The 10,969-nt window shown below is 42.2% G+C and overlaps 1 long non-coding RNA gene across 3 annotated transcripts, besides 1 other annotated feature; it reads right to left on the bottom strand.

The window, feature by feature from the left end:
* Positions 1-586: 586 nt before the first annotated feature.
* LOC101929142 (uncharacterized) lies at positions 587-4,977 on the bottom strand. 3 transcript variants are annotated; one of them, XR_943178.4, is made up of 3 exons: positions 4,915-4,977; positions 1,823-1,987; positions 587-628 (listed from the first exon to the last, which is right to left on the bottom strand). It is a non-coding gene; the product is annotated as an uncharacterized LOC101929142 (long non-coding RNA). The 3 variants fall into 3 exon arrangements; XR_001744432.3 differs by lacking the exon at positions 4,915-4,977 and adding an exon at positions 3,205-3,281; XR_001744433.3 differs by lacking the exon at positions 4,915-4,977 and adding an exon at positions 2,941-3,060.
* Positions 5,317-5,822: an enhancer, noted in NCBI's record as "OCT4-NANOG hESC enhancer chr6:159883544-159884049 (GRCh37/hg19 assembly coordinates)". NCBI's record gives its function as "activates a minimal SCP1, AML or CMV promoter by ChIP-STARR-seq in primed H9 embryonic stem cells {active_cell/tissue: H9 hESC(primed)}" and the evidence as "EXISTENCE:reporter gene assay evidence [ECO:0000049][PMID:30033119]".

Below are 10,969 nucleotides of genomic sequence, written 5' to 3'. Positions count from 1 at the left end.
TTTATTTGGTGCTAGGGGCTACTGTGGAACTTCAGTCTCCATACTTGCCTGTTAAAGTTCCTTCTGTTTTCCTTTTTACCCAAATTCACTTGTGTAGGGCAATGATACTACAAGAGCAGTGCTCTAACCCCTGAGCTATGGAGCCCCTGCCTGGGCAATGATATAAAAGACTGGCCTCAAAGCTGTGGCAGACTCTCGAAAATTATTGGAAAATAACTCAATAATAACAACACAGTCCTACTTCAAACCCTGTGTTCCCTAAGAGTGCTTTATTCCCTCAAAGTATTTTCAAAGTATCTGTCATTGCTTTGGGGTAGGCTTTTATCACTAGCATCTTCATAGCTGACACTTCATTTCTGGCCTTTTGGCTTTTTTGTATGTTTAGTCATACATGCAGGTCATACCACCATAGCAACTCACTCAAAATAACTCACTTAGGGTGACTGCACAGAGAGTCTCTCTCAGCTATTTTAGTAATAACACAATAGCAACCCACGTTAGTGCAGCTGGGCTCCTTAAATATTCCTTCCTAAGTCATGTAGTACACATTTTAGAAGCCACATTAAAGTACCAAAATTACCCACAAACCGTTTATTGCTACAGTTCACTCCCGTATTTTCTTCTCAACCTGTGGGTAAAGAAAGACATAGATAAATTCATCTGATGCTTTAAAGTGGCAGAGCTATAAATATCTGATTTTTCTCTGTGTTTTGAAAAATTGAATAGTCATAGAAAATTCTTATAACAGTATTTACATAAGTGAGCACTTCCTCTTTCCTTTCTTCCCCCTCGCTCTCCGTATCCTTCCTCCTTCCTCCCCTCCCCCTTTCCTTCCTTCCTTTTTTCCTTCCTTCTTTCCTCTCTTTCTTTACTAAATATCCATATTATGCTAGGTATTGTTTTAGATTCCAAGCCAGACACAAAGGTAAACAAAATATAGTCATTGCTCTCAAATGTCTCACAGCCTTCTGAATCTTTTGAAGAGGAAAACCTGAGAATTATATAAAATTGTTTCATTAACATAAGAGAATCTGAAGATGGCACAGAATGTTTTGGGGGATGCTTCCTTGATTCCTAGTTCCTTTCTCTGTAGATTCTTCCTGTTCAAGGCACAGGCGTAGACAGTCATGAGATGCCTGGGTCAGAAACATAAGACTTTAATACTCACAGCAATAGCAGTAGGCAGAGTATCAGCAGTTGTTCATATCTGTCCTGAGCCCCAATTTCCATAGGGCGTGTGAAGAAGGCCAGATGACACTTATTCACATAGTGACTTGCATTATAGGAGGAGATCCCTGAGCTCAGAGAACCCAAATCTTTCATGATGGGCAGTAAGTTTGCCTGCCCTTTTCTCCAACAGCAGGTATTAATTCTGTTTTTCAAGGCTGGTCACTATACATGGAGAATTCTTTCCCAATCCTCTTGCCTCTTACCTTTCTTTTTGTTTGTTTGTTTCTTTCTTTCTTTCTTTTTCTTTCTTTCCTTCTTTCTTTCTTTCTTCCTTCCTTTCTTTCTTTCTTTTTTTTTTTTTTTTTTTTTGAGACGGAGTCTCACTGTTGCCCAGGCTGTAGTGTAGTGGCGTGATCTTAGCTCACTGCAATCTCTGCCTCCCAGTTCAAGTGATTCCCCTGCCTCAGCCTCCCGAGTAGCTGGGACTACAGGCGCACACCACCACTCCCAGCTAATTTTTTTTGTGTTTTAGTAGAGATGGGGTTTCACCATGTAGGCCAGGATGGTCTCCATCTCCTGACCTCGTGATCCACCTGCCTCGGCCTCCCAAAGTGCTGGGATTACAGGCATGAGACACCACACCCAGCCTCACCTTTCTGTAAGTCCAAATAAAAATAAAAGCAGCTGGCAAATCTAAAGTGAGATATAAGTGGATTTCTCCTCCAGGTTCAGGATCCAGATGTTGTCTCTGCCAGGTGTCCTTTCCCACCTTGCCTTCTGTTCTCCTCTCCCCTCCTCTCCAGCTCCATATCATGCTCTGCCAAAGAATGCAAGCCTTCACGTGAGCTGAATCCATCCTGGGCAATACTATTAGGCCCATTCTAAAGCCGGGGTTGGTAAACTATGTCACAAGCTACATCTAGCAGAAATGATTTTTTAAAATTTAATGGTTGTAAGAAAAGAAGAAGAAGAAGAAGCCGGGCACAGTGGCTCACGCTTGTATTCCCAGCATTTTGGGAGGCCAAGGCGGGCAGATTATTTGTGGTCAGGAGTTCAAGACCACCCTGGCCAACAAGGTGAAACACAGTCTCCACTAAAAATACAAAACTTAGCAGGGTGTGGTGGTGTGTACCTGTAATCCCAGCTACTCAGGAGGCTGAGGCAGGAGAATCACTTGAACCCAGGAGGCAGAGGTTGCAGTGAGCCGAGATCATGCCACTGCACTCCAGCCTGGGTGACAGAGCAAGACTCTGCCAAAAAAAAAAAAAAGGCCAGGCACGGTGGCTGGCTCACACCTGTAATTCCAGCACTTTGGGTGGCCGAGGCGGGCGGATCACGAAGTCAGGAGATTGAGCCATCCTGACTAAGATGGTGAAACCCCGTCTCTACTAAAAATACAAAAAAAAAAAAAAATTAGCCAGGCATGGTGACGGGTGCCTGTAGTCCCAGCTACCCGGGAGGCTGAGGCAGGAAAATAGCGTGAACCCACGAGGTGGAGCTTGCAGTGAGCGGAGATCGCACCACTGCACTCCAACCTGGGCGACAGAGTGAGACTCTGTCTCAAAAAAAAAAAAAGGGAAGAAAACAGAGACACAGAGACAGTCCACAAAGCCTAAAATATTTACTATTTCTCTCTTTCTAAGGAAAGGTTTGCTGAGTCCCATTCTAGAAGTAACTGAGTATAGGGGGAAGTCAATTATAAAAAAAAAAATGGCAGCTACAGCATCCCCAGAATGGATGAGGTGCTGGAGCACTAGGTGAACATGTTACCTTTCTATTTTTTGAGAAGTGCTGTTTCCTTTCCTGACAGAAAGCTGGGATGACCTTCCTCAGGTCTTAGAAGATGCAGAGCTCTCATATTATAAAATGGTACACACTGTCTCTGTCTCTCTGTATCTAAACACACATATTATATATCTAATTTAATTTACAATAACCTATACCTTATATCTATATATTATTGTGAATTAAATTAGAAAAAGTGAATAAGGGAATGAGAATTACAGATCCAATTATAATATGTGATTTACATACATATGGAGCCTGGACTCGTCTTCCTCTCCCAGTCAAGTGTAGCTATGGCGTCAATTAAGATTTAGATGATGTTCTCAGGTCTGGGGAATGAATTGCTGAGTGCCAGGAAAATAATGCTCAAGTGTCTGTGCACGCACGGAGCTAGCTGGACGCCGCTCCGACAGATTTCCTTTGCGTATCGAGCATCTGAGCTCTGCAGAAGTCTCTTCTTAAAGTCATCCTGAAGCCCCTCAGTCCTCAGATTGCTGCAGTATCTTATTGTTTTTAAGCCCCTCTGTTAACTTAAAGATTAAATATTTTTGCTCACACTCTCTAAGTGTCTGAAAATGCTCAAAATATTGAAAGATGGAGAAATATACTTGAGAATCTTTTTATTTACTTTAAAATGAGTGTGGGATACTTTCTCCTTCCAGTCTCTCTGGGACTGACTCCAGCTCTAACCTGGGCTTGCAGTGTGGCCAGCAGTTCAGTAATGTCCAACTTGACCTAAGTCTGATTTTTACTAAATCAAGAACTCTACTAAAAGATGTAAAAATGTGAATGATTGTTGTTTGCCACCTTGAAGGAAAATAGCAGTGTTAAATTAGAACATTCTCTCATCTTAGAGATGTTACTAACAGGTGACATTTGGATGCTGTTTCAGAGGAATGGGATTATACTGAATATTTTTCTAATATTTCTTTCGTTGTCACAAGGTGAGAAACAACTGGCACTGTTCTAAGGGCTTAATATGCATTAATTTAATTCTCACATCTCATGAAGCAGGTGCTGTTGTGAGCCCCATTTGACAGAGGAGGAAACTGAGGCACAGATTGGTAAATGGAAGAGCCCAATTTCAAAGCCTGATGATTTCGTTTCAGAGCTTGGACCCTTTCCTGGCTGACACCAGACATTCCTAGAACCCCTAATTATGTGCTAGAAGAGTGATTCTCCATCCTAACTGTAAATAATTTGTAGTTATATGTAAAAGTGGAGTTGGGTTCCAGGCTCAGAAAATTATAAACAAGTTTGTCACCTGCATAACTGTCTGGTGGGACATTGAAAAGTTCCACAAGATCGTCTTCTGCATTGTGGGCCCTCTAGTATTCCAGGCCTCCACCCACTAAATGAGGTCACACCCCATCTTCATGACTATCAATAAAGTAAAACAGGGCCAGGCGCGGTGGCTCACGCCTGTAATCCCAGCACTTTGGGAGGCCCAAGTGGGTGGATCACGAGGTCAGGAGTTCGAGACCAGCCTGGCCAACATGGTGAAGCCCTGTCTCTACTAAAAATACAAAAAGTAGCCAGGCGTGGTGGTGGAAGCCTGTAATGCCAGCTACTCGGGAGACTGAGGCAGGAGAATCACTTGAAACCGTAAGGCGGAGGTTGCAGTGAGTCGAGATCGTGCCACTGCACTCCAGCCTGGGCGAAAGAGCAAAACTCCCTCTCAAATAAATACATAAATAAAGTAAAATAAAGCCCCTACACATTTCCAAAATGCTCTCTAGGGGGCAGTAATCCCTCCATTAAGAACTATTGGTTAGCTTTTTGATGGTGACATTAAAGCGTCATTTCTCTAGGTTAAATCAACCTGGATAAGAGTTCTAGCCACAGGCACATGTCTGTGTTTCTACATGAGCATGAAGAAGCGAGTGCACTGTGGAGAGGATATGAATAATATCTCCCTCCCTTCCCAACTAAGGGAAGCCGGCCCACGCCTGCACTCACATGAGACTGTTCCCCACGATGGCACAGTAAGAGGAGACTTGAGAGAGCGCCCTGCTGTTTTGGTCGTGTGTGATGTTAGTGACTGCGTCATAAGAACCAAAGCTGATGCTTGATTGGAGTGTGCTAGAATCCAATCACTTAGAAGTGGGTCCGCCAGCAAATATGCAAGATTGATTTTTGGAAGCGATGCTGGAAACTGTGGCTGGCGAAGGTAGACGGAGCTTTGCTTTCCAATATCTGCAAGGGGCCGACTTCTCCGTAGCCTGTGTATGTCGGGGCACTCTCAGGCTTTCATATCGAGCCAGATGTTCCCACTTCCTTTTGATTCTCTTGCTGATGGAGAAAATTGCCGCTCTGGGGGATGAAATACTTCCCAATGACTTGGAAATTGTGATGGTAACTTGTAGTTGATGAATCATGAGTTGTTACCACAGGCCCCACAAAGACCCGCAATGCACACCAAAGACGGGCACCAAAACCACCCCAGTGGTATGGAGAGAAGCACGTGGTTCTCTCATTTTGAACACTCTGTGTTTTAAAGATATCAGTAATGTCTCCCTCCCTTCCCAAATTATTTTCTCCCAGGGAAGCTCCACGTTATGACATCTTCACAGATGCAGTCAACTGTTTTCTTTAAATGTCATTGGCCACCGAGGAGAGGTAGGCCCTAAGTCTTGTGGCCCCAACCCACCCTGCTGAGAGGTTGGTATGTGGCTCCTGTTTTGGGAAAGAGGAGGTAGGCGGTTACGTGACTCCCCCACTTCCTCCAGCTCTCTTGGCAAGGCTATTGGCAGATTGGAGCTTGCCCCGCTCTGGACTCAGAAGTTCTCATTTGCTACATTAGGCTGCTTCATCTGGCTCCAATGGGAGGATTCTTGGAAAGTTCTAAACTGGGTTACAGCCGCATTTTAGGCTGCCATTAATTGATTGTTCAGAGCTAAAATTAGAAAAAATACATTATAACGACTTTTACCATGTCAGAACCACCAATATTTAAAAATATTTCACGAATGTAATTGCTGGTGTGAAATATACTTGTTTAACCATCCCACCACTAAAGGAAAATCTTGGACTGAAATTCTTCATTTCAGGAAACAAATTATAAATTTCAACAGATAGTGGTTTGCCTCACTGAAGAGACACAGGCTTCAGGACCCAATAGGCTGGTTTTAGGATCTTGGTCCCTCTATTTACCAGCGGAGGGCCCCAATAACTTACTACCTCTCTGAGTCTCAGGTTTCACATCTGCAAAGTGTGGTTAAAAATATCTGCTTTGCAAAATAGTGTTTTGCACAAGGCTAACTGATAGAGAGAGAGAGAGAGAGTTAAAGACCAAACTGATAATTTTGTCAACAGCATGGAATAGCAATTGGGAAATTAATTTATTATGTCCTCTGTGTGGTTAACCAAACTAAATGTTTATTTAGCTAGGGTATTGTGTCTTGATAACAGCACCCCCACAAGAGAAAATTTAATATGTTGTAAATTAGGTTTTGGTATCAAAAATTTTGATAAGGTATTAAAATGTGGTACCTAATTTTGAATTTCAAAGACTGTGTGGATATTCATATAGCCACAAAAGTTTGTATACAATTTTAGAGGGTCCACAGACCACTGAATTCCATGCAAGGATCCCTTGAGGATCTATGGACCTTGTATTTGAAATCCCAGAATACTGCTTACTGAGAGATAGCTTTTATACTTGGGGTTCTAGATTTTGATAATCATTGTCAGGATTTGATTTTATTTTAAGCTAACATACACAACAGGTTGCTTGTTAAAAGAGAGCAAAGATCATGGAAAAAAATAAATCTGCTCCAAAATTATGTATTGTCTGTTTGTTCTCTGCAAATGCTTGGTGAGAGAGGGAAATATTTCACAGAGGTGTTCACTGTATTGGGCATTCCTAACAAGCTGTGGTTTCGAACATTCCCTGGGGCAGCTCGCTTCGTCTCATCGCTTGGAATGATCTCTGCCAGTGTGGGGCTGTTTACAGAGAGGAGGGGATGGGTTAGAGATGGATCTGAGCTATTAAATCATGTGGTTTCTGGGGACTTGGCCTCCTGGTGGCTTTGTTGTTTTTGAATAGTTGTTCTTGGGAGGGTAGGAAAGAGAAGGTATACGAATCTGCCTGCTGCTCAGAAGAGATAGTTTTATTTCTCATGCATTGCATATGTGTCTAAAACTTACTGCCTGAGTTATGCTTATTTGTGATTCCTACCTTTTTCCAGTTGCTTTACCAGATCTGTACCTATCTGAGATTAGCATCACTGGGGGAGAGTTTTGTTTGGGCTGAACTGAAGGACTTCAAGGCTAGCTGTGGAAGTTAGGGCACTTAGGGGAAAGAAAATCTGTAAGCGATCTTGGTCAAAGTCACTTTGCCTCTCAGGCTTTAGTTCTTCCATTGTAAAACTAAATCCACTGTTCGCCCATTTAGTGATTTTGCTCAATGCAACACATTTACTGAGAGCTACTATTTTCCAGGAGTGTTCTAGGTCCTTGGAACAGATTAATAAACACAGATCGCTGTTCCCCTAAGGGGAGTGGGTGGGAGGATTGGGATTGTAATTGTTCACAGGATGATCTAGAGAAGGAGGCATTGGAAAAGGACTTGACCTGGGAGATAGGAACAAGTTTTCCAGGCAGAGAGAAGAGCCAGAGATGCAGGCTCTTACCCTGCATCCAGGGTAAGCCTCATCCTTGGAGGAGTAGCAAGGGGGCCAGCGTGGCTGGAGCTGCAGGAGCAGGTAGGGAGGGGAGGGTATGAGGTCAAAGGCCCAGTGCGAGGTGGAGACAGCTCTGCCGACACCCTGCTTGGCAAATAATGCTTGGGCTGGGTTTCAAGCCCCATCCATGCCTGAGGCCATGAGCTGCCTACACAATGTGTGGAATTGGAGGCGGGGGTGCCCTGAATAGCCCCACATCAATTTACCTAAAAAGGAAAGACGGAAGTCACTTTTCCCTAGGCCACGGTGGCTTTGGCTTCAATGGGATTGCCGACAGCCTCTGGGCACACAAGTTCCATTTCTGAATCCCCACTACCTCCCACTCCTTCCACGCAGTCCCTTGCTTCTATACAAAGGGCTCCCAGCATCTCACATGTTTGCAAGTGACCACAGTGATCCTGCTGGCTCCCCAGGGCATCATTTTTCTTTGCCACTTCCAAAGCTTGCCAGCATCACTGAAAGCATGTCATTAACCAGGGGTGCCTCTAGGTCCTTGTGCAGAGCTCTTGGCCCCAGGGTCAACTGTCTGTCCTAGGGCATGATGGGCAGCACAGGCTCTCTCATGAGGGTTCCTGACCCTTGTGGCAGACTCTGAGCTGGGATCCTTGTTGCAGAAGCCACCCAGAGTGGACGGAGCAGAGCATAACTATTGGAGTCAGAAAAAACAAGGCCTACACTGAATTCACTCTGCCATCAGCTTTTAGCTTCACAGTGAATTGGCTGTACAACCTTGGGCTTGTTGCTTAACTGTTTGTGTTTAAAATGGGAATTATAATAGCACCTCGTCCCTACTCATGGCAGTTTTGCAAGGAGTAAATGACACAATACATATTAAGCACTTAGCACAGTGGCTGGCACATAATAATTACTCTATAAATATATATTTTAAACCTTCCAAATTTTCTGGAACAGTACTAATCTAAAATATTTTCTTGAGAAACAGGTGTGAAGTACAAATTAGTACATTTCTGTTTTTTAAGTTGGTGATGCATATCAAGAGATTTAAAATGTTTTTATCCTATTATGCAGTATTTCTTCTTCTTGATCACACAGTGGAAATTTCCAAAACTGTGAACAAAGATGTATATATAACAATGTTTACCACGGTATTTTTAATAATAGTAAAAAAAAGATGGCAACTACATGTTTGATGATATGTGTAGTGGGTAAAAATAATTATATATTCTATCTTTGCTGTATATGCAGAGATAGAATATTATGCAGCCATTAAAAAGAAACTCCACAAAGAATATTTAATGATGTGATAAAATCCTTGTAACATAGCTTTAATTGAAAAGTTCAGGATGAAAAATTATATATACAGTGTGATAGTCAAGTGGATAAAAATTATCCTGTATTAATCCAGCATATAAACAGAACCAAAGACAAAAACCACATGATTATCTCAATAGATGCAGAAAAGGCCTTTGACAAAATTCAACAGCTCTTCATGCTAAAAACTCTCGATAAATTAGGTATTGATGGGACGTATCTCAAAATAATAAGAGCTATCTATGACAAACCCACAGCCAATATCATACTAAATGGACAAAAACTGGAAGCATTCCTTTTGAAAACTGAGCACAAGACAAGGATGCCCTCTCTCACCACTCCTATTCAACATAGTGTTGGAAGTTCTGGTCAGGGCAATCAGGCAGCAGAAGGAAATAAAGGGCATTCAATTAGGAAAAGAGGAAGTCAAATTGTCCCTGTTTGCAGATGACATGATTGTATATCTAGAAAACCCCATCGTCTCAGCCCAAAATCTCCTTAAGCTGATAAGCAACTTCAGCAAAGTCTCAGGATACAAAATCAATGTGCAAAAATCACAAGCATTCTTATACACCAATAACAGACAAAAGAGAGCCAAACCACGAGGAACTCCCATTCACAATTGCTTCAAAGAGAATAAAATACCTAGGAATCCAACTTACAAGGGATGCGAAGGACCTCTTCGAGGAGAACTGCAAACCACTGCTCAATGAAATAAAAGAGGATACAAACAAATGGAAGAACATTCCATGCTCATGGGTAGGAAGAATCAATATAGTGAAAATGGCCATACTGCCCAAGGTAATTTCTACATTCAATGCCATCCCCATCAAGCTACCAATGACTTTCTTCACAGAATTGGAAAAAACTACTTTAAAGTTCATAAGGAACCAAAAAAGAGCCTGCATTGCCAAGTCAATCCTAAGCCAAAAGAACAAAGCTGGAGGCATCATGCTACCTGATTTCAGACTATACTACAAGGCTACAGTAACCAAAACAGCATGGTACTGGTACCAAAGCAGTGATATAGACCAATGGAACAGAACAGAGCCCTCAGAAATAATGCCGCATATCTACAACTATCTGATATTTGACAAACCTGACAAAAACAAGAAATGGGGAAAGGATTCCCTATTTAATAAATGGTGCTGGGAAAACTGACTAGCCATATGTAGAAAGCTGAAACTGGATCCCTTCCTTACACCTTATACAAAAATTAATTCAAGATAGATTAAAGACTTACATGTTAGACCTAAAACCATAAATACCCTAGAAGAAAACCTAGGCAATACCATTCAGGACATAGGCATGGGCAAGGACTTCATGTCTAAAACACCAAAAGCAATGGCAACAAAAGCCAAAATTGGCAAATGGGATCTAATTAAACTAAAGAGCTTCTGCACAGCAAAAGAAACTACCATCAGAGTGAACAGGCAACTTACACAATGGGAGAAAATTTTTGCAATCTACTCATCTGACAAAGGGCTAATATCCAGAATCTATAATGAACTCAAACAAATTCACAAGAAAAAAACAAACAACCCCATCAAAAAGTGGGTGAAGGATATGAACAGACACTTCTCAGAAGAAGACATTTATGCAGCCAAAAAACACATGAAAAAATGCTCATCATCACTGGCCATCAGAGAAATGCAAATCAAAACCACAATGAGATACCATCTCACACCAGTTAGAATGGCGATCATTAAAAAGTCAGGAAACAACAGGTGCTGGAGAGGATGTGGAGAAATAGGAACACTTTTACACTGTTGGTGGGACTGTAAACTAGTTCAACCATTGTGGAAGTCAGTGTGGCGATTCCTCAGGGATCTAGAACTAGAAATACCATTTGACCCAGCCATCCCATTACTGGGTATATACCCAAAGGATTATAAATCATGCTGCTATAAAGACACATGCACATCTATGTTTATTGCGGCACTATTCACAATAGCAAAGACTTGGAACCAACCCAAATGTCCAACAACGATAGACTGGATTAAGAAAATGTGGCACATATACACCATGGAATACTATGCAGCCATAGAAAATGATGA

This window comes from Homo sapiens, chromosome 6 (genome assembly GCF_000001405.40).
Source record: "Homo sapiens chromosome 6, GRCh38.p14 Primary Assembly".
Classification (NCBI taxonomy): domain Eukaryota; kingdom Metazoa; phylum Chordata; class Mammalia; order Primates; family Hominidae; genus Homo; species Homo sapiens.
Note: the sequence above shows the minus strand (reverse complement) of the source record. Positions and strands in the feature narration are given on the sequence as shown.